The sequence below is a fragment of the Homo sapiens genome, chromosome 16, assembly GCF_000001405.40.
Source record: "Homo sapiens chromosome 16, GRCh38.p14 Primary Assembly".
In the NCBI taxonomy this organism is placed as follows: Eukaryota; Metazoa; Chordata; class Mammalia; order Primates; family Hominidae; genus Homo; species Homo sapiens.
In genome coordinates, this window is record NC_000016.10 from 75,624,135 (window position 1) to 75,647,704 (window position 23,570).

The following is a 23,570-nucleotide window of genomic DNA, read 5'->3' on the forward strand; positions in this document are numbered from 1 at the left end:
TTTTTTTTTTTTTTTTTTTTTTTTTGAGACGGAGTCTCGCTCTGTCACCCAGGCTGGAGTGCAGTGGCGCAATCTCTGCTCACTGCAAGCTCCGCCTCCCAGGTTCACGCCATTCTCCTGCCTCAGCCTCGCGAGTAGCTGGGACTACAGGTGCCTGCCACCACGTCAGGCTAATTTTTGTATTTTTAGTAGATACGGGGTTTCACCATGTTAGCCAGGATGGTCTCGATCTCCTGACCTCGTGATCTGCCCGCCTCGGCCTCCCAAAGTGCTGGATTACAGGCGTGAGCCACCGCACCTGGCTGCCGAGTCTCAATATTTTAAAAAATACTTATGTTCTGTTCTGTTTTTAATGCGAAGTTTAAGAAATCTGGTGTGTGTTACACTTAGAATACATCCCAATTTGGATCAGCCACATTTCAGATGCTGGATAGTCACATGTGGCTACTGGCTACTGTAGTACAGTACTACTACAGTGTAGTGGGCAGAACAGGTCTAAAAACCTTTGGATTGCCGGGAATAAGTAATATAGCTGCCTGGATACTTCAGGGGCCTTTGTCACCCAGTAACTGAATGCTCTATTACTAAAAATGAAAGAATTCATTTTTCTTTGTTACCCCTCAAAAATTTATGCAACTTGCTCAACCCCATCCTTCTCTCTAGTTCAAAGGAAATGGGACATGGCCCTCCTCCAAGGCCAAAGACTTTGCTCCTCATTCCTCTCCAATATCTTTAATCTGCAAGTGACTGCCTCTTCTGTCTTTTAAGAAATATTCCAGTGGGGGTAAGGGGTATCAAAGACCTTCTTCTAGGGTTCTTTATCTCAGGGATTGGTATTACTAGCAATCTAGTTGCGTAACTAAAAAGTGAGTCATGTTCCTTGTTATCTCCCTTCCCTTAATCCCCTTAGTGCAATCCATTACCAAGTCCTGTTGATCTTACTTCCTATCTCTTGAATCCATCCATTTCTCTCCACTTGCATGCCAATACGCTAGTAAAAGCCACTATCGTATTCCTCTTGGATTGCTACACTCATCTCTGAATTTCCACCTTTTCTTGCTTAACTCCAATTCATTTTCCACAGAGCAGCAAGACTAATCTTTTCAAACTGCAAATCTGGTGTCAGATTTGTGACTACTACACATTTACTGCTTAAATAATACTTCAGTGAATGCCTTCTCGGTACTTTTTTTTTTTTTGAGATGGAGTCTCACTCTCCTACCCAGGCTGTAACGCAGTGGCACAATCTCGGCTCACTGCAACCTCCGCCTCCCAGGGGCAAGCAATTCTACCTCAGCCTCCCCAGTAGCTGGGATTACAGGCACATGCCACAACACCCGGCTGATTTTTGTATTTTTAGTAGAGACGGGGTTTCACCCTGTTGGTCAGTCTGGTCTCAAACTCCAGACCTCAAGTGATCCGCCTGCCTTGACCTCCCAAAGTGCTGGGATTACAGGCGTGAGCCACCATGCCCGACTGGCTTCCCAGTACTCTTAAAATACAGACAAAAATCCCATAGTAGTGCTCACAGTCCTGCATGGCCAGCCCCTTCCTGCCTCACCTGGTGCCATATTTCTTTGGGCTTCTATACTCTCACTGGTCTCCATGTCCCTTCCTACCACAGGGCTTTTGCACTTGTTGCCATACCACGGAAAGCCTTCTTCCCTTCAGATCTCATGTCCTCAGAGAAACCTCCTCTAACTAGGTCCATGTCCATTATAGCTTCTCAACACCCCGTGGACCTCTCCTTCAAACCATTTACCTGAGCTGCCATTTTATACAATTTTGGAGGATGATTTATTACTATCTATTTTCTTTACAAGTGTAGATGCTTGATGAAGTTTGAGACCACGCCTGTTTCTGCTCACCCCAGCAAAGCAGTTAGCAAATTGTGAGCCTGCAACTGTTTGAAGAGAAATGGGGACTTTATGACCCTTCTGTCCCTTCTAGCTTTCACACTCGGTCATTTTTCCTGCCAACCCTCACATACAAGTTGTCTACTGCTGCCTCAGTTCCTTTCTATCCCTAGCCTCCTTAAGACCAGACAGCTGGATTCTGCCTCCATCCTTCCATTAAACCACTTTGTAAAGTCACTCATATCATCAATCCTTGTAGCCTTTTTCAATTGTCTGCATTGACAGTATTACCTGAAACCTAGTCCCTTACCTGTCCTTGACCTTCCACCACCTCCCTTGGTGAGATGATTATCTCCCGTTTTAGTTACCACTCCCTTTCTGAGGATGTGCCATTTGAAAATGTTTCTTCTGAAATGCCACCTGGTCACGTACTGCTTAAACACCAGCAGGGGTAGGGATGTTCCTCACTGCCTGAGGTAGTTCATTTAGGCAATTCTGAATGCTTAGGTTGTTTTACCAGCTACAGAAACAGAAACCTGCTCTGTGAAAGGAGACTGGCTGCTCCCAAACTGGGATGCTTGCAGAGGTTTTGCTGAGGTGCAGAAGGTAAAGTCTTCCGTCATGTGAAAAAAGGTCTTCCCAGCTGTCTCCGTGTCAGGAAAGAGGGGCTCCACTTTGATGGCAGGCTCTCAGCCACACCCTTGTCACGTTCTTAGCTCTATTGAATGGAGCTGAAAATAATGAGAAAACTTCAGATTCATTATTCAACATTCTGCTATTTCCATCTGGCTAACAGGCATGTCAAATTTAACATGTCCAAAACCAAACTTCCAACCTTCCCTCTGAAACCTGAACTTCCTGTTTTTCCCATCTCAGTAGAGGGCAACTTTCTTCCAGCTGTTCAGGTCCAAAACCTTGAAATCATTTTTGGCTTCTTTTTCTCACAACCCACATTCCCATCACCAAATTCTTCTGCCCTCAGGAACACAGGCAAAGTACAACCACTTGTAACCATTTCCACTGGTCCATGCACGTCGCAGCCACTGTCTCCTCAGCCCATGGTGAATGCTCAGCTGGTCTCCCTTCGTTGCTCTTGTCCTCCACACAGAAACTAGAATAATCCTTGAAAAACACTCCTCTGCTCAAAATCCTTCCATGGTATCTCATTTCCCTCAGAAAACACATACTTTTCTGAGTGGCTTCCAGGGGCCTGCGTGATCTGGCCCCTCACTGACCTTCACTCATCCCTGTCCAGTCACACCAGACCCTCTGCCATTCCTCAAAAACATGGTCCTTTAGTCTGAATGGCCTTTTCCCACAGACCTCCCCAGCTCAGTCTCCAGACCTCTACTGAAATGCCCAGCAGAGGTCTTCCTGACCACCATAAAGTAGCACTGTTCCTTCCACCTCTAAAATAGCACCTCTGTCCCCTTACCCTGCTCCATTTTTCTTCTTAGTATATACCACCACCAGAAAGAACATGTATTTACTTGTTTTTTTGTTTGTCTACTTCTTCTCCCTACCCCAAAGAAAGAATACAATTTCCACAAAAGCAGGAACTTGGCTTTTGTTCCCTGCTGTGTCCCCAATCTCTTAGAATAATGCCTGGCACAGGGCAGACATTAATACAAATTTGTTAAATGAATAAGATGGTAAAATCCTAAACATTCATTAGGCCAGAAGTCTGGGGAAAAAAGTTGATATTCTAAAAGTAAAGAGAAGAGACAAATGGCTTATTTGGTAACAGGATTAAAAAGAAATTTTTAATTCCTTGTCTCTCTTCTGATGGCTGAACAGAACTGCGGTGTCAAATGGAAAGCAGCACACAAGAATTCCCTTGCAGACCTTGATCTTTCGCAGAAATGCAAAGACGCCTGAGTTATACAACTTGCAATTATTATTTTCTAGACAGAAGTGCCAACTGTTGTGCTTTCCAGTGTATCAGTGGTTGCTACATTCTCCTTCTTGTCTTCGGGTTTCATGGCAGGAAACAGAAGTACTTCCTGTGGGAGATAAGAATGTACCTTGAAGCTGAGAAGCACTCTCAACATTTTTTCACAGCTATCTACCCATTCCTCTTGCCTCTGTTGTTACCACCAAAATCCAGAGATTAGTATATTCCAGCTGAAAAGGCTCATGTGTTCTTTTATTTCAACTCAGACCCTCTCAAGTTACAGATGACAAAGAACAAATGCATAGCACTGCCTAGGGCACTATGTCAAAAGGATGAATAGACGCATTTCTATGAAAATTTGATTTCCTCATCTATAAAAATGGGAAACAACAGTTTCTACACCTCATAAGGCTGACTTAATTAGCTGAAATAATGCACGGAGACTTCCCTGGATCCTCAAGAAATGCAAACAATTAGTATTCCTTCTGCCCCTGGTAGGAAAAAACCCAAATCCTTTAAGGTCAGAGGCTCTGGCCCTCCTGTGAGTGGCATGGAACTCCTCTGCCTGCTCCTCTTCCCAGCCCAAAGCCCTTCCTTAATTTTATCCTCCAGGCCCACCATGCCCTGGCTCCAACACAATGCAGCTTCCTCAGGAAGTGTGCTCTGTGGAGGGTTGCTACGTACCTTGATGTTGTTGGAGTCCGTGAGAAACATGGCGACTCGATCAATGCCCATGCCCCAGCCAGCTGTGGGGGGCAGCCCATATTCCAGGGCAGTACAGAAGTTTTCATCTATGAACATGGCCTCATCATCACCTGCAGCCTTGGCCTAGAAGAGGAAAGAGAACCAAAAGGTGACCTTCTTCTAAGATATCTCAGTGTGTGAGTGAACATGTTACCAGGCTCCGAGGTGGGAGTACCATCATTCCAGAGATGCTCCTGACACTCAGGACTTGCTGGGAATTCATTTCCTAGTAACTCCAAGATGCAGCCGTTTCTTTCAAAGACCTGGAGGTCAGGACTGATGAAATCGACCTCAGAACACATACAAATTTCTCTGAAAGAAAACCCTTCTGCTGCTTGGGGCTCTGGGACTCCAAACAGGTTAATTCTCAGAGACTGTGACAATTACAAGAGTCTTTCTCCCATTTCCTGAAAACAGCCCTGTCAACACCTGCTGCAGGCAGCCTGTGGGGGTTCTGTCTTCTCCATTCATCTCTACCTACCTCCCAGCCCTAAGCCACCTTAATACATGTACAATCTAAGAAAATAATGTTCTTGCTTGGCAAGTGTATTTTCAAGGCAAGCGTCACGCTTTCCATACGGAGATTAATAATGAAGTTCCTCTTATGTACGACAGACTCAATACCAGATGAAGTCACCATCTTGAAATGTGACTCCTCCAGCAAGCCTATGGCTTTATCTTTCACTTCTGAAGTCACCAAGAACGTATACGCTGACACAGATCAGGGTTAAGGCTGGTATTTCCTGGTGAGTTGGCACAGCTTCTGCTCACAGTCCCCTTTCTCACCTTGGCCTGTTCTTCAAAAAGCTGCCGCTGCCGCATGGGATCATTCAGCTCAGTATACGCATTGCATATCTCTTTCTTCATGACAAACAGCTCAAAGCGCTCAGTCAGACCCTCTTTAGAGCGGTGCCTAGGGACAGGAGACCAAAGAGGAGGCTGAATATAGAGGCCCCTAATGAGCTAAATTTTGTTTTTTCTTTTTTTTTGAGACGGAGTCTCGCTCTGTCACGCAGGCTGGAGTGCAGTGGTGTGATCTCGGCTCACTGCAACCTCTGTCTCCTGGGTTCAAGCACTTCTCCTGCCTCAGCCTTGAGTAGCCGGGATCACAGGCCCATGCCACTATGCCTGGCTAATTTTTGTATTTTTAGTAGAGACAGGGTTTCGCCATATTGGCCAGGTTGGTCTAACGATCAAACATCTAATACAATAATTGAATTCTAGTGGACTCAAAAGTGTTACTGATTGCAGTCAGAAGCCTGCATGCAGTCTCAGCAACAAATCATTTGGTACAACGGTGAGGAGGGTGAGAGAGACCAGGAAGGTTTAATGATCTTCCTAACAGGCCAGCGGGCAGACTGTTAAAATGGACCACACCTCTTGCATTCATGCCCATGTGTAGTCTCCTTCACCTGGACTCTGCGCTGGCAACATGTCTTGGTTTGGCCAATGGGTTATCACCAGAGGCTTGATACGTGTTTGCACAATGAGGTCTGTTCTTTTGGAAGCTTCCCCTTAGAGCCCAACCACCATGCTGAAGGGAAGCCCAGGCTGTGCTGCCAGACAGGCCACATGAAGAGGCCCTGGAGGATAAGATCGTATGTGGAGTGACCACGTGGAGGAGAACCAAAGTGCCCTGGCAGAATCCCCAGTTGAAAAAAAGCCACTTGGGTTACCCTGGTCAACACCACCCAGCAGAAAGACCACCAGTCAAACCACAAAATCTTGACAATAAATTGTTAACACCACTAAGTTTTGGGGCTGTTATGCAGCAATAGGTAACTGGAATCTTACCATTTAGCCAAAGGGCTCATTATCTGTGGGTGATCACAGATGAATGTAGGATTGATGCAAGTCACTTCCAGGAACTCCCCAACAAGCTTAATGAGAAAGCAAAGCAGAGTCAGTCACCATTTCTGAATAGTATTTGATCGTCCCAGCCCAGACAGAAGATCTCAGCTCCCATCCAGATGGGTTTATCCTATAGCTTTTTATTTATTTATTATTATTATTATTATTATTATTGAGATGGAGTCTCGCTCTGTCGCCCAGGCTGGAGTGCAGTGGCATGATCTCGGCTTGCTGCAACCTCCGCATCCTGGTTCCAGTGATTCTCGTGCCTCAGCCTCCTGAATAGCGGGGATTACAGGTGCCCGCCACCATACCCAGCTCATTTTTGGATTTTTTGTAGAGACAGGGTTTCACCATGTTGGCCAGGCTGGTTTCGAACTCCTGACCTCAGGTGATTCATCTGCCTCGGCCTCCTGAAGTGCTGGGATTACAGGTGTGAGCCACCATGCCCACCCTACCCTATAGCTTTTTAAAAGCTGGACGGGATTAACTGAGATCACACACATAAATTATTTGGCACAGAGCTTAGTATGACAGTTAAAAGTCTGTTAATTCTCTTGTTCTCTCTCTAGGGTTTTCCTGTGAAGCTGCAGAAATGAACTCTCCCCAGTGGGGTTCATTTTCCCAGGGAAGAGGGAACCATTCAGCACCAGATGAGGACATGTACAAGAAGGCAGGGCCTTCTCACCTTGTCAAGGAGCCTGGCTGTGGTCCGAGGTGGAGGGCATTCAACAGCTTTTGCCACACAGATATCATCAAGAATTTTGCGAGTTTCTGGGACACAAATGCAAAAGTTAGGGCAGGAGACATCACACTAGCCAAGTAAAAATGTACATAAAGAGAATAGTGTGGGAAATTCTAGCTCTGACCCAATCAAATTCAGAGCTGAACAGGAAGGAGGGCCTTACAACGGAGGAGTGAGTGTTGTCACTTTACCTTCAGTTTCAAAGAGGTTCGTTTCTGGCAGCTTCATCCCCAGGGCTTTCTCAAGCTCTTCTACCATGTTGATTCGCCGGAAGGGTGGGGTGAAGTCAACATCGTAGGCTTGGCCCTCTGGGCCATCTGGGTGGTAGGTGACCTTGTAACTGCCTGTAATATGCTTCACCATCCCTGGGAGAGAAACCTGTTATTTAGCGGGAATGAAATCCAGGCAGCCCTCCTCTGAAAGCAGCATACCAACCACCCGATGAGTATGAGAGAGAGCAGGAGTCACCTGAAACCATCTTCTCCGTGATTTCCATGAGATCGTGATAGTCTGCATAGGCCATGTAGAACTCACAGGTGGTGAACTCAGGATTGTGCGTCAAATCAATCCCCTCATTCCGGAACTGGCGTCCAATTTCATAAACCCGGTCGATGCCACCAACCACAAGCATCTAACAACAACACATGGCCACGGTCATGACAGCTAATCTTTTTTTTTTTGAGATGGAGTTTTGCTCTTGTTGCCTAGGCTGGAGTGCAATGGCAAGATCTCAGCTCACCGCAACCTCCGCCTCCTAGGTTCAAGCAATTCTCCTGCCCCAGCCTCCCTAGTAGCTGGGATTACAGGCATGTGCCACCACGCCTGGCTAATTTTTTTGTATTTTTAGTAGAGACAGGGTTTCTCTGTATTGGTCAGGCTGGTCTCGAACTCCCGACCTCAGGTGATCTGCCTGCCTCCGCCTCCCAAAGTGCTGGGATTACAGGCATGAGCCACCGCGCCCGGCCCCATGACAGCTAATCTTGTATTAACAGCTCTGGGAAGTTTCAGTCTCCAAAAGCCGTAACTTGGTTTTCACAGGTTAGGTATACTCTCAGGTCTCTGGTCAAATTGCCAAGCACCCTGCTCTCTTTATACCCTTGTAGTGTGGATAGTTACCCCTTTTTTGGCTGCCTAGGACTTCTCGATACTCTTCCTGTCTTGGGCATCCCCCATCATTGAGTCTGAACCTCCCCAAGGAAGCAGCCTCTCTTGGGGTTAGGCTGCAGGCGTGTGACCCAAGCTCCACCAGTCAGATACACTTGTGAGACTTCAGCATGGAAACTACTAACAAAAGATGTGGGTATTGCATAGAATTCATTCTGGTGAAGGGGGCCAGTCACACGTAGCTTTTAGATTGCAGAGGTCCTAGCGGCAATGACTTGTGCCTAGTGCCAGGATTATGAGCTGTAGTAACTGTGCCTACTAGGAAAATACACTGGGTTCTCCATGAGAACAGCCCATTCTAATATGACTCAGAATCATTCCTAGTTGTATAGTTTCCAAGCCTGATTCTCTGATCCTCCTGGGGACTGTGAGCTTCCTCTATGTTGGGATTCACTCAGGATGGTGGCAGAAATATTAAAGGGAAATATTGGGGAAAGTTATAAGGAATAGTCACAAACCTTTTGGAAGGCCGAAAGGTTACGTAGCTTGTAATAACTGAACAGGCTGAAGGCAGCCAGTTCTTACCGTACAGCATTAGGTCATAGGGTAAATACTACGGAAAATAGAGGCTTCCCCAGTTAAGTCTGTTTACCCTACCTCCATTAACTAACCTTTCAGCCAGATGGCCCTCTTGGGGGGAGGTTGACCAAAGATACTGCTCCCTAATGGTATTTACTTTAGACCATGGTACCTGGACTTTAATAATTCCTAGAACTCCTCTCTTACGATGTTAATTATCCACAAGTGTGTTTACTCAAAGCTTCTGTTGTTAATTCTATACTAAATAAATGCCTGGAGTGAGAGCTGCTCAGGGTCGGCCGCAATGACAAATACACCTCTCTTGGTGTGCAGGTGATCGGACACTCAGCAGGACTGGCAAAACAGAGTATCTGTGTTTCAGTGTACGTTTTATTCATCCATCGTTTAGGTCAGGGTCTGCAGGCAGACCCCCGCAGCTAATGCCCTCTTGTGAGGAGCAATACCTCACCTATAGAGCTGAATAAATTTTTATTTTGCTTAAACTAGTTATAACAGTTTCTGTTGTCTGCAACTAAGAATCCTGAATAATAATCTTCAATATTTACCTGGGAATTTGACAAGACATCTTTATAGTGATTTGAAGATACTTTTTTTTTTTTTTTTTTTTGAGACGAAGTCTCATTCTGTCACCCAGGCTGGAGTGCAGTTGCAGGATCTCGGCTCACTGCAACCTCCGCCTCCCGGGTTCAAGCAATCCTCCTGCCTCAGTCTCCCAAGTAGCTGGGATTACAGGCACATGCCACCACGCCCAGCTAATTTTTGTATTTTTGTAGACACTGGGTTTCACCATGTTGGCCAGGTTGGTTTCAAACTCTTGACCTCAAGTGATCCATCCGCCTTGGCCTCCCAAAGCGCTGGGATTACAGGTGTGAGGCCCGCGCCAGGCCTGAAGATGCTTATTTCCAACTTCCACAGACAGATTAGGCTCTTTCTTCTGTGAAAGACTTAAATCAGATCTAATCCACGTAAGACTTTATCTTAAAAGTTTTAGGGGAACCAAAGTAGGTAAGGAGTGCCTGTATACATGGGAAAGACAACCCCTTTGGTCTCTGCCCTACAATGCTCTATTAATCTTGTAGAGAAATTCTGGAAGTGTTACTCACATCCACACACCTGACCCATCAGAACACTTTCTTGGCTGCTTTACTCTCTCTGTTCCTCTTATTTCTGACTATACCCATCTAGCCAGTGGTATTCCAGCTTTCTGCTTCTTTAAGGGAAAAGGGTGTACTATTACTGACTACCTTATGATAGAGTTCTGGAGCAATTCTCATATATAAGTTCATGTCCAGCTCGTTGTGATAAGTGATGAAAGGCTTGGCCACGGCTCCCCCTGGGATGATGTTCATCATGGGAGTTTCAATCTAAAAAAGGCAGGGAGAAACATCAGTCCTTAGATAACCAGAGGCCTTGGGGACAGACCATGCTTTGCATGTAATATAGTCTAAGCCTGTTATACCCCAAACTAAATGTTAATAAGTTCAACAGTAATGTGCAAGTGCTTGACAAAAAAGGACACTATGATTTTCTACGACAGTGTCTCAATTTCTATTAATACCTAATATCATTAATATAGTACCACGAACTTTCACAAGCTGTAAATTAGAATCTAAATGGATATAGCCTTTCTTGAGTTCAATTTGCAGTATTTATTTAATTTTTTTTAAGACGGAGTCTTGCTCTGTTGCCCAGGCTGGAGTGCAGCAGCGCGATCTCGGCTCATGGCAAGCTCCGCCTCCTGGGTTCACACCATTCTCCTGACTCAGACTCCAAAGTAGCTGGGACTACAGGTGCCTGCCACCACGCCTGGCTAATTTTTTGTGTTTTTAGTAGAGACAGGGTTTCACTGTGTTAGCCAGGATGGTCTCGATCTCCTGACCTTGTGATCTGCTCACCTCGGCCTCCCAAAGTGCTGGGATTACAGGTGTGAGCCACTGCGCCCGGCCCAATTCCCAGTATTTATTAAAAATTTAGGCTGGTCTGAAGGTAGTGAGTTATCTCAACTGATTGTTTAAAAAAAATTTTAACTGCTTATATTGTTTGACTTATTCTACTTCTAGAAATCCATCCTACAGAAACATTTGAACATGTGTATAAAGATGCTTGTTGGAACAAATAATGCAGCATTAAGAAAGAGTATCTATCTATCTCATACAAAGAGATCCAGAATATCTTAAGTGAAATAAAAGCAGGTCCATCACAATACACATAGTGTGACTTCATTCATATTTAAACCAAAAATAAAACTCCTCCAAAATGTTTACATATGTGCACTCCATCTGCAACATGCATATGTACATACGTATATATGCCCAGTAAATGGTGTGGAAGGATACATATCAAACTCAAGTTTGGGTAGGGAAGTTAGTCAGAAGGAGTGAAAGAGCACTTTCAGTTTTGCTTCTATTTAATTTATTGTTTGAATTTGTTTTATGGTACGTGTGTTTGCCTTTCTCATATAATCAAAAAATATTTCTTAATGCTACAAAAAAGCAAAATGACGTGAATACATATTGAATGTGACATCATTAGCATGTGGATGGCCCTATACCTTGTCCATTATCTTGGAAGTCAGGTCCTGCCTTCCTAATCAGGACAAGGTAGAACAGAGACGATGGCAAGAAAAGGGGACATTCTCATTAGGCATGAAGGATCCTGACACAGGATACGCTTTGGAAAAGGAAGGCAAGGGAGAGGAGGAGGCAAGCATTGCAAGGCAGCTCATCACGTCAGGCAAGGAACTCTCCTTACCTCTAGGAATCCCAGCTCATCTAAGAAACTTCTTATATATGTGATGATCTTAGAGCGGATGATAAATTTCTGCCTCACAAAGTCATTCAGGATCAAGTCCAAGTATCTCTGGCGATACCTTGTTTCCTAAACCAAAAGCAGCAGTTAGAAATCACTGGTATGTCTGATCCAAAGGTATGATAAAACAAACAGAAAGCTAGGAGGCCACAGCTAGGAGGCCAAGAACGCTTACCTTGTCTTTGAGGCCAAAGTGAAGATGAGGTAACATATGCAAACAGGGAGACAGCAGTGTGATCTCATACGGAATGATGCTCAGCTCACCCTTCTTGGTTTTACCAGGATTCCCCTGAACTCCAATTATGTCTCCCCGACGCAGTTTGTTATTAATATGAATAAATTCTTCTTCTGATTTATAATTTCTGAGTGAAAAAGAAATGTAATTCAGTAACAACAATTCAAATGAACACTGACCACTGGTCTCCTCTGGAACCCTCACTCAACTGTTAATACCTAGTTAATGTGAGCCCAAGAAGGACGTCAGATTCAGGGGCCACTATTAAAAAAGGACTATCCTTTACTTTACTGTCATATAACTTGAGAGTAGTCATTACTTTACAGGTGACCAGGTGGCCACATTATCCTCTTCTCAGCCTTCCCCAACCATGTCCCACTCCTTCTTACTCTAACTTCAAATACCAGTAAGACCACATCAGCCTATTGCTGTGTTGCTCTAGGCCAACCAAGAAAGGTCTATAACTGGGTATTTCGAGATACCTGGAATTGGCCATGACTTGCAACTTCACCCCCTCTCCTCGAAGATCATAGAAGATGAGCTTTCCCCCAGAAGCTCTTTTGGCATGGATCCTACCTAGAAAAAGAAGAGCAAAAATACTGACTGACAGAACCAGAAGTCATTTTATGGTATCAGTGTCAAAAAAAAACTCCCTCTGCATTTTTTTTTTTGTTTTTTTTGGGACAGAGTCTTGCTCTGTTGCCCAGGCTGGAGTGCAGTGGCACGATCTCAGCTCAATGCAACCTCCGCCTCCCAGGTTCAAGTGACTCTCCTGTTTCAGCCTCCTGAGTAGCTGGGATTACAGGTGCACACCACCACACTCGGCTAATTTTTCTTTTTTTTTTTAAAGTAGAGAGGGGGTTTCACCATGTTGCCCAGGCTGGTCTTGAACTCCTGGGCTGAAGTGATCCACCCACCTCAGCCTCCCAAAGTGCTGGGATTACAGGTGTGAGCCCCCACACCCGGCCTGCATTTTTTTTTTTTTTTTGGTCAGGGCACAATGCAAAGCAGTACAATCTGATTTTAGCTTGAGGTTTAATCCCCATCTTTTCCCTCAAACCAACAATGTCCATTCAAACCAGTTAAAGACATGCTTTCAGGATCTAGCTTTCAAGATTAAGTCACTGGATGCCTAGAAGATGGTGGTGCTGGTAGCAGCATAGTTTTTGGATTTCCCTGAATCCTCACATAAAAATAGAAAGCACAGCTAGAGAGGCGAAGCGAAAAATCCATGGACAAAATTTACAACAAAATGCTGTGGGAAGACGTTGCCAAGGACCCCCAAATATAAGCAAGGAGGCAAACCACCAAGAGCCATAAGACCTCTATACGGGGAAAAAGCAGTGGGGAGAAATGGGGTATGGGAGGGATCTGAGAACTGGAAAGCCCCCAAATGGCCAAAGGTATCCTCTGGAAAATGTGAACCTTTTCCTCCAGGCTCACTGGGGGAGAGCAGCTGAAACAGGGAGGGGATGTGTCCGTTTCCATACAGGTGAGGGTTGCATTAAGAAGATCTAAAGGAGGCCAGGTGCTGTGGCTCACGCTTGTAATCCCAGGACTTTGGGAGGCCGAGGCAGGCAGATCACGTAAGGCTGGGAGTTCAAGACCAGCCTGACCAACATGGAGAAACCCTGTCTCTACTAAAAAAAAATACAGAATTAGCCAGGCGTGGTGGCGCATGCCTGTAATCCCAGCTACTTGGGAGGCTGAGGCAGGAGAATCGCTTGAACCTGGGAGGCGGAGGTTGCAGTGAGCTGAGATCACGGCATTGCACTCCAGCCTGGGCAATAAGAGCAAAACTCAGTCTCAAAAAAAAAAAAAAAAAATCTAAAGGGAATGAGGAGTAGAGCCCACAGAAACCCTCTCAACAGCCAGGCTCCCTTCTAGGACAAGACCGTAAAAACTAACAGGACAAGGAAAAAAGAGACCAAAAAAAAAAAAAAAAAGAAGACCCAAAAAAAGTGAGGAAGAAGAAGAGAACCAGGAAATCTCAAAAAACAAGCTGCAGTATTTCTGAACATGCCACAAAAACAAGAGGGAGCTCACTGGAAAAACGAAACCGTGCTTCCTTTGAACATTCAGGAAAACTGATTTCATGTAAATGTAAGCAACATAAAAGCACTGGGCTCACATACCATATAAAGTTACTTAAAAAACTAAAAATGGAGAGATAGAAGGAGAATAACACCCCTCTAGACAAAATAAAAGCACTCAAGACAGACATGCTTAGAAAAACAAAAAGTTCCTTTTTTTTTTTTTATTTTACTTTAAGTTCTGGGACACATGTGCAGAACACGCAGATTTGTCATATAGGTATACATGTGCCATGGTGGTTTGCTGTACCTATCAACCTGTCATCTAGGTTTTAAGCTCTGCATGCATTAGGTATTTGTCCTAACCCTGTCCCTCCCCGGTCCCCCCGCCCCTTGACAGGCCCCAGTGTGTGATGTTCCCCTCCCTGTGTCCATGTGTTCTTATTGTTCAACTCTCACTTATGAGTGAGTACGTGCCGTGAAAAGCAAAAAATTCTAACTTACTATTCAAAAATGAGCTGAAAGACATGAAGAAAAAGACGCAAAACATGAAAGAACACAAATTAGAACTAGAAAAACTAAGAAATGAGGTGATAACACATGAAAGAATTAGAAATAAAGTAAAAAATCTTTCAGAAAATGCAGACTAAGCTATAAGGAAATAATAGTGACTAAATACAACAAATAATGCCTTAAGAGAAACAGAAAGTGAAAAGGAGGATAAAATTTAAAAATCAAAGTATAAAGAAAGATAAAAAGGATTTGAGATAAAGTGACAATTATCGAAAAGAATCAAGATGATCCAGTATGCAGATAAAAGTCCCAAAGGAAATGTAAAGCAAGAAACAGAATAAAAACAAACAATTAAAATAAAAAAGATCTGCTGGGAGCAGCGGCTCATGCCTGTAATCCCAGCACTTTGGAAGGCCGTGGCAGGTGGATCACCTGAGGTCAGGAGTTCAAGACCAGCCTGGCCAACATGGTGAAACTCCGTCTCTACTAAAGATACAAAAATTAGCTGGGCGTGGTGGCAGGCGCCTGTAATCCCAGCTACTGGGGAGGCTGAGGCAGGAGAATCGCTTGAACCCGGAAGGCGGAGGTTGCAGTGAGCCGAGATTGCGCCATTGCACTACAGCCTGGGGGACAAGAGCAAGACTTCGCCTCAAAAAAATAAAAATAAAAAAATAAAAAAAAATCTGAATACACAGATGTGAAAAGATCTCAGAGCACACTGTGTATCTGAGAATACTGAACTAGAATAACTAACATCAATAAATATTTTAGTGGCAGGGTGTGGCGGCTCACGCCTGTAATCCCAGCACTTTGGGAAGCCGAGGCAGGTGGATCACCTGAGGTCAGGAGTTCGAGACCAGCCTGGTCAATATGGCGAAGCCCCATCTCTACTAAAAATACAAAACTTAGCCGGGCGTGGTGGCAGGTGCCTGTAATCCCAGGTACTCGGGAGGCTGAGGCAAGAGAATTGCTTGAACCTGGGGGGCAGAGGTTGCAGTAAGCTGAGATGGCACCACTGCATTCCAGCCTGGGAGACAGAGTGAGACTATATCTCAAAAAAAAAAAAAAAAAAAAAGATTTTAGTAAAATCACTGCACTTTAAAGAAGAAATCTTTTGGGCATTTAGGTCCTGCCAGAAATTCTCTCTGGGTGGTAGGATTATGCGTAATCAAAACCTTCTCTCTGTGCTTCTTTGACTATTCTAAATTTTCTACAACTGATAGTTTTACTATTTGGTGGGAGAGGGCAAGGAAAAGATGTGATTTTTTTTTTTTGTTTTTTAAATTTAGGAAAAGAAGATCTCACCCAAGATACTACAACTCCAAAAGAGCAATGTTCTAGAAATACTGTCTCAGTGCAAAGCATTCTTAGGCCAAAGACTGGAATTCTTAGAAGCCTGAGACTTCTACCGCTGATTCTTGCTGATGAAGGGAATCCTTATAGAGAAAGCCCCTCTCTTTGTAGCACTACCTCATCTGGAATATGATTCCATGTCTCAGGGCTGCTCTGCTTCTTTCTGTATAGATATAATGGCACTGTCCTTAGTAAAGTAGCTTCAGACACAGGCTACTTGAGAACAAGACCAACCCAGACCTTCCCTTGTGCTACTGAAGCCGCAGGCCTACCTGCTGTGGGAGTTCAGTGATTTGCCAGGGAGAGTTCCTACCTGCCACCTTTAAGGTGATGTCAGTCAGGTGATCCCCAGGCTGCAGGTGACTATATTTTTGGATGAAGTCAGTGAGTGAGATGTCTACATGGAACTTGTGTGGGTATGGGTCTTCCCCATTGACCTTCAGCTGATGAATTGCTTGACTGCGGATTTTGTAGTATTGCTGTTAAAAAAAAAAAAAAAAAAGCCCTTCAGAAGTTGAACCTGGTCAGACCAGTGGGGCCCACCTAGCAGAGGGCAGTATTCTGCCCCCGAGTGACCCCAATACATTGTTTTCTTTAACCAAGACCTCTGCATTACAGGATTGAATATGGAGTGAGATTTGCACTTAAAATATGCAGGGCGGCCAGAGGCCAGCATTTCAAAATGCAAGAGTCAACAAAAAGAAAAACCTGAGTTCTGCCTAAAATCATAAAAGTTTAATTTTTAATTGGTACAGGTGGCCTTGTTGTCACTTTTGTAGACCACATTTGCATGGTGAGTCGAGTCACTTACGTTCTTAACTGCTTATGTTCTTAACTACTCTCCTACCTCTGGCGACACATCAGACTTTTCCCCAAGGCATGGGGCCTGGAGAATGTAAACAAGGAATACTCTACAGCAGCCTTTCTCACAAAGCTTTTCTGATGCAACTTCTCAACTCTGCTGTTTCAGGGGGAAAGCAGCCTCAGAAATACGTAAACAAATGAGCACAGCTGTGTTCCAATACAATTTTACTAGTAAAACCAAGGAGGGGCAAGGTGTGGTGGCTCATGCCTGTAATCCTAGTACTCTGGGAGCCCGAGGCGGGTGGATCACTTGAGGCCAGGAGTTCAAGACCAGCCTGGCCAACATTAACAGGGTGTAGTGGTGTGCGCCTCTAATACCAGTTACTTGGGAGGCTGAGGAAGGAGAATCACTTGAACCGGGGAGGCGGAGGTTGCAGTGAGATCACACCACTGCACTCCAGCCTGGGTGACAGAATGAGACTTTGCCTCAAAAAAACAAAAACAAAAACAAAAAACCAGGGAGGGAAGGATAAAGTGGGGGCATGGAGAGTGGGTTTGGCTGGTGGACTGTAGTTGGCCAGCCCCTGGTCTAAAGTAAACCTCAGGCAATCTTTAGAGAGACACTTTCCCTGGGGCCTCAAGGTCAAGCTAATTCCAAGGAAGGTTAATTCACTTGAATGCTGGACTCTCTCAAATGCCTTTTGGGGGTTGACATAAAAAACACTCAGGGTCTGTGCCTTTAACCAGATGCAGTGGGAGACCCTCCCTTATCCCTGGCAGTGACCTCAGGCGTACTGGTCCCTCCTACTGTCCAGTCCCAAAGAATCTGCCAGAAGCCTCATCAGAAGCTTTCCTGTGCCCAACCATGCTGGTGGCCCAGGGAACTCACATTTGGGTCCACGCTCTCTTCCTCAGGACCCACACCATTATCAGTGGTGTGGTTGGTGGCAGCAGCAGTGGCTTGGCTTAGCTGTTTCTCACTGAGCTCTTTCTGTTTGGCCTCCTTCTCTGCTACTTTCTTCTCAGCTTTCAGGCGTCTCTTCAGCTCACTGTTGGAAAGATGAAAGCGTTCAATGTGTTAGCTGCCTGAAGAGTCCTCTATGTTCTGCCCCTAGCAACTTATCAAAAACATGAATCGCCCAGGAGAAACGCTCTTGCTCAGTTCTATACCCCTCAATTCCACACCCACAGCTCAGCTCAAGTAGCTTGTCACTAAACTCTTTATGTGAAAGACACAAAGGGAAAAATAAGCTTAGAACAAAGATGTGAAAAATCACTCTCAGTCTCTGCTTGCCAGTCTCAGGTCCTTGGCATTAGGTCCCAACTAAAACCAAGATGTACCAAGACAAAGAAAATCCTATGCATTAGTTTTGAATAGGAGAAAAGGTTTTCTAGAAAATTAGAATAGGCTTTTCTTGAGCTAATTAGGTTAGGGAGCTCCTTGAGGACAGTGACTGAATCTTAGTTGTTTAGTATCCCCCTAGAAGGTGAAGTTCCAACAGTGCCAGGTCTTTTTTTTTTTTTTTTTTTTTTTTTTTTTTTTTTATGAGACAGAGTTTTGCTCTGTGGCCCAGGCTGGAGTGCAGTCACAATCTCAGCTTACTGCAATCTCTGCCTCCCGGGTTTCAAGAGATTCTCGTGCCTCAGCCTCCTGAGTAGCTGGGATTACAGGTGTGTACCACCACAGTCAACTAATTTATGTATTTTTAGTGAGACGAGGTTTCACCACGTTGGCCAGACTGGTCTCAAACTCCTTTCCTCAAGTGATCTGCCCACCTTGGCCTCCCAAAGTGCTAGGATTACAGGTGTGAGCCACCTGACCCCTCCAATGCCAGATCTAATACATGATAAGGCAACATCTCCAGCCCTCTGCTACCCCCTCTCTCTATCCCTCCCCTAAGAGTGAGTTAGGATGATAGTAAGGAAGAGCCGGCTCTTTAGCACTCAAGGAGACCTCCCCTACCAACAGTCTCTCCAAGAATGGCTGTCAGCATTAGTCTCACTTTGCCCACTGGAGCCTGACTTAGACAACAAAATAGAACGGTGTGCAAAGCAGTATAGTACAGGGGGTAATATACCATCTTTGTAGTCAGGCTGCCTGGGACTAAATTCCAACACACTTGTCAATTATGTGACTTGGACGAGTGAATTAACTTCTCACCTGTGAAACGAAAATAATAATAGACAACCCCCACCAGTTGTTATGGTGTGTAATGAGATAATGTTTGTATAAAGGGATTACCCTGACCCTGGCATTCAGCTAACCAAATGTGAGCTTTCTAGGTATCTTTTAGTATCTTAACCCTTTACTCTCTGTGCCTCATATAGATTTAAATACATTTCTGGTTAAATCACTTGGTATCCAAACTCTTGATACTTATCACTTGAACCTGAAAAACCAAAGTAATGCGGACAACTCTGAGCTGTTCTGTATGATATGTTCATGTCTCTTATAGTCTGAATTTGCTATCTGAAACCAGAAACTAAACAGATTGGTGTAGGGAGGGATATCTTTACTATTCAAAGACAATTTATGGATCATTCTTTCAAACCGCTGAACATAATCAAATATTCTGCAATAGTGAACCACAGCAGAAGATCCCAAGTCATGCCCGCAAACATTCTGGCTTCAGGACACATCCTTCATTTTCGATATGAATTTAGAATAACTTTAAAAAATGAATTGAGGTTTTGAATCTTTCACCTTTTTTTTTTTTTTTTGAGACAGAGTCTCGCTGTGTTGCCCAGGCTGGAGTGCAGTGGTGCGATCTCAGATCACTGTAAGCTCTGCCTCCCGGGTTCACACCATTTTCCTGCCTCAGCCTCCGGAGTAGCTGGGACTACAGGTGCCCGCCACCATGCCCGGCTAATTTTTTTGGTATTTTTAGTGAAGATGGGGTTTCACCGTGTTAGCCAGGATGGTCTTGATCTCCTGACCTCGTGATCTGCCTGTCTTGGCCTCCCAAAGTGCTGGGATTACAGGCGTGAGCCACCACGCCTGGCCGAATCTTTCATCTTGTAAAAAAGAAAAACAGATTCTGAATGGTTTCAAAGTTGACAGCTTTTTCTACATATAATGTCTTATAACATTTGTAAAGACAACCTTTCCAAAACACTGTGCTGGTGTTATCATGCTATAATTCAGTCAGTGGACTGCTAAGATTAGGCTGTCTAGTTCTTCTAGAATTAAGATAAATCTGTTTTCCACTCAACCAGGTGCTCCTCTTAAATCAAATCAATCTTAAGGATAATCCAAAAAGGTCCTAGGGATAGCACTAAGACTAGAAACCAAATTAATCTCAAGAGCACACAAAACTCCAGAAAGACAGAAAAGGGAAATAGCTGGCATTAGAAATTATTTGTTCAAACAAAGGTTTTGTTCTTAGCACTCTTCTAGAATAAGATCCACATGTCATCTCAAGACTCTAAGGAGAGACGATTTGAATTTATTAAAGAGAAAATGAGAAAGGACTATTGGTTTTGGTATTAGGGCTCCTTGTTTCCTTAGCAACAAGTCCAAAGACTTAGCCAGAGGCTTAACGGAAAATGAACCAAGTAAGGAAATAATTTTTGCTTCCAGAGCAATAAAGAAGGTAATGGGCACCAACCTTCTTTGATCAGAAAATGACTTGTCCTTGTGAGGCGCTGTGAAAGGAGCAAGTTGACCCAGTCGCAGTTCCCTGTGACCCCACTCTGCCCAGGAGGTTTTGCGCAGGGACCCCCTAACAAGCCTTACAGCAGCTTGCGTCAACATGGCAGAGCACCCTGGAACTAATGATTACCACCACCTAGCGGGAAACACAGAGATGTGGTGTCAGATGGGACAGACAGTATACATATACCCAACCAACTCTCTTATGGGTTGGGGAGGGGGACCATGCTTCTACTACCTTTTAGTCCCATTTAACTTAAGACTGTCTTAACTGATAGCAACCCTGTAACACTCTCTGTGCTACAACTGTAACTGACAATGTTCTTAGTCCTGACTATGGAAAAAACATGCATATCTGGGGTAAAGCCAACAGCAAGTTAATGGATAGCTTACAGGTAAAATTGCTCACAACATCCTAGAATATGGGAACAGGATGTGAGGCACTTTCTGAAGCCCTGAAGTGTGGTTTCTCACCTGGAGAGGAAATACCTGGCCACAAGATGGCAATAGGAAGCATATAAAATAAGAGGAAACTGTCACTATCAATTGCAAACTCTAGACAAAGATAAATGCAAGCCACACAAAAATACGTGTCAAAGAGAAGACTTGTTTGGAACTCTAGGAACAAGGGGAAAGGAGAATTTCAGGAAGGTCCTTAGACTGCGTTATGTTTATACATTATCAACACTGGAAGGCAACAGAATTACAGAGATCACCTTCTTTACCGTGTTCAAATAAATTTGAGGAGGCTATTTCACTCGGGCAGGGAGCACATCTGCTTTTAAACTTGGAGTCAATACCTGGCACAAAATGGTGCTTACTAAAAATTTCAGACCAAGGAATTCCCCAGAACAATAAACGGAAGGAAATGTTAATCAGAAAAAAATTATTTTAGCTCATGGTAACGAGAGGAATAGACATCAATGACAGGTAAGACAACGTGAGTAGTGCTGTGCAGTCAGGATACAGAGCATGGACTGTGGAGTCACAGGCCTGAGTTCAGATCCGTGCTCCAGTGCTCTGGATCACTGCTAGACTATATTTTAGGAATGCACACTTTAATAGTGCATTTAATTACTAGGACCTCAGTTTATTAATTTGAAAAATGGACAATAACTCCTCTTGCAAGGTTATTACTGACACTAGACAGAAAGCTTGTAGAGATCTAGCATTGTGCCTGGCACAGAAAAGCTGGTCAAAAAAGTAGTAGCTGTATTTAATTTTAGAAAAGTCAGTGAAGCAGGGAGTGGTGGCTCACGCCTATAATCCTAGCGCTTTGTGGGGTTGAGGCGGACGGATCACCTGAGCTCAGCAGTTTGACGCCAGCCTGGGCAACAAGGTCAAATCCCGTCTCTACTAAAACACAAAAATTTAACCGGGTGTTGTGGCATGCACCTGTAGTCCCAGGTACTTGGGAGGCTGAAGCACCAGAATTGCTTGAACCCGGGAGTTGCAAGTTGCCGTGGGCTGAAATCGCACCGCTGCAATCCAGCCGGGGCAACAACGACTCTGCCTCCAAAAAAAAAAAAAAAAAAAAAAAGTCAGTAAAGAGGAATTAACCAGTTTTTTCCGTTTACCTAAAAACACACTCTGAACTGGAAACCGTGCTTTCACCTGTGATATACAGTCCTAAAGTTCAATTCAATGTAATTGATTATCATAGGTGGTTTGAAAGAATGAACTAAACTTTAGGATCGTATATCACAGATATACCACATTCAATTAAATTTGACTTAATAAAGTCAAGTCAATTTTCTCTAAGGTAGCAGTCCAAAGACCAGGTTCCAAACTTTTATGGAAGTCCATCGGATTGCTCTAATAAAGGACAATATATTAAGGTCCTACCCAACTATAAACTTCGACAATTTCTCTTATACTTTTTCTAAGATATTTGAAGCACAAAGCCAGGGACACAAAAGGAAACATCAGGCCAGGGGTGGTGGCTCAGGCTCACGCCTGTCATCCCAGCACTTTGGGAGGCCAAGGTGGGCGGATCACAAGGTAACGAGATTGAGACCATCCTGCCCAACATGGTGAAACCCTGTCTCTACTAAAAATACAAAAATTGGCCAGCCATGGTGGCACACGCCTGTAATCCCAGCTACTCGGGAGGCTGAGGCAGGAGAATCGCTTGAACCCTGGCAGCGAAGGTTGCAGTGAGCTGAGATCGCGCCACTGCACTCCAGCCTGGCGACAGAGCGAGACTCCATCTTAAAAAAAAAAAAAAAGAAACATCATTTCTCTTTTCTTTTTCATTCAGGGTCTGGCTCCGTCTCAGTAACTCCTTGGGGAAAGCGATGGAGAAGGGCTCGCTCACGCAGCACTTCTGGCAGTCCCTGAAGGACCACTACCTCAAGTCTCCCAGGCTGGAGTGCAGTGGCACGACTTCAGCACACTGCAACCTCCGCCTCCTGGGTTAAAGCGATTCTCCTGCCTCAGTCTCCCGAGTAGCTGGGATAACAAGTGCGCGCCACGGGGATTAAGCCCTCTCGTATGCCTCTGGAATGGTACTATGTACCATCTTCCTAGCAATGATAAAACACTCAATTACCTGTGTTCTGTGGTTCAAATGGGGAACGCTAATGAGAATATAAGACAGCCAGTTAAAGGGTGGCTAATCCTGACTTATCTATGTTAACCTACATACTCCAGGGATTTGGGAGTGGTTAACAAAGATATCAGGCTGAATTAAGATGGTCTCTACTGTTAGACGTTGATCACTTAATACTCACAGGTATCTACTGAATAACCCATACGGGTAGATGCATGACAGTTTTAGAACTGATCCCTTTTAATACATAACGTTCAGAATGACCTTAGTGAGGCCCAGAAAATTTTGAAGGTCTTTCTGAAAAGCTAGGGTATTTAACATTTCTCCAACTTCCACGTTTACTGAGTGGCTCAACAAAAGAATGCATTTCTCAGAAAGGAGGATGAAGCTAAGCAGGAAGTTTCGCTTTTCTTTTCTGATAACTCTTAGTTCTCGTCCTAGTTCCTCCTCCACAGTCTCTTAACTCTAGGAGTATGATAGGGAGCATCCCGCCGGTGCCAGCTGGGAACGGGGAGCCGGCGTGCCCGGGGTATCCCGGGGTACGTGGTCTGCAGGGCGCAGCCACCACGTCTCAGCATGTGCGTACCCACGAGAGCCGGCAAGAAGGCCCCGGCACAGCAGCCTTGGTGGGAACCTCGCGGCGCTTCCCAGCCCAGACTCTCCTACCGCAAAGGCTTTAAAGACTCGCAGCGACACTCACTTCTTGCTCAGTTTCGGCTCGCTGCCATCCACTTTCACCTCGGCCGCCTGCACGGCCGCCATCTTCCCGGAGGGCCCGACCCAAAAGTAAGGAGGATAGTACGTTAATTTCCAGGTCAAGGTGCGAA

At 44.7% G+C, this 23,570-nt stretch overlaps 1 protein-coding gene across 3 annotated transcripts, besides 2 other annotated features; it reads right to left on the reverse strand.

Annotated features, from left to right (window-relative positions):
• Positions 3,590–23,531, reverse strand: KARS1 (lysyl-tRNA synthetase 1). Of its 3 annotated transcripts, NM_001130089.2 has the most exons (15): positions 23,444–23,531; positions 20,149–20,328; positions 17,430–17,589; positions 16,050–16,215; positions 12,320–12,413; positions 11,778–11,964; positions 11,546–11,671; positions 10,039–10,158; positions 7,559–7,721; positions 7,282–7,455; positions 7,034–7,119; positions 6,289–6,374; positions 5,281–5,407; positions 4,435–4,578; positions 3,590–3,859 (listed from the first exon to the last, which is right to left on the reverse strand). In NM_001130089.2, exons 2-15 carry the CDS (start codon positions 20,292–20,294, stop codon positions 3,761–3,763), a joined length of 1,878 nt encoding a protein of 625 aa, NP_001123561.1. In that variant the 5' UTR covers positions 20,295–20,328; positions 23,444–23,531; the 3' UTR covers positions 3,590–3,760. The 3 variants fall into 3 exon arrangements, with proteins under 3 accessions (NP_001123561.1, NP_005539.1, NP_001365077.1); NM_005548.3 differs by lacking the exon at positions 20,149–20,328; NM_001378148.1 differs by lacking the exon at positions 20,149–20,328 and having other exon boundaries at positions 23,330–23,531.
• Positions 5,336–6,535: an enhancer, noted in NCBI's record as "CDK7 strongly-dependent group 2 enhancer chr16:75663368-75664567 (GRCh37/hg19 assembly coordinates)". NCBI's record gives its function as "activates an origin of replication core promoter dependent on BRD2, BRD4, P300/CBP, MED14 and CDK7 cofactors, with strong dependence on CDK7, by STARR-seq in HCT116 cells {active_cell/tissue: HCT116}" and the evidence as "EXISTENCE:reporter gene assay evidence [ECO:0000049][PMID:35650434]".
• Positions 23,384–23,563: an enhancer, noted in NCBI's record as "active region_11144". NCBI's record gives its function as "activates an Ori minimal core promoter by ATAC-STARR-seq in GM12878 lymphoblastoid cells {active_cell/tissue: GM12878}" and the evidence as "EXISTENCE:reporter gene assay evidence [ECO:0000049][PMID:35858748]".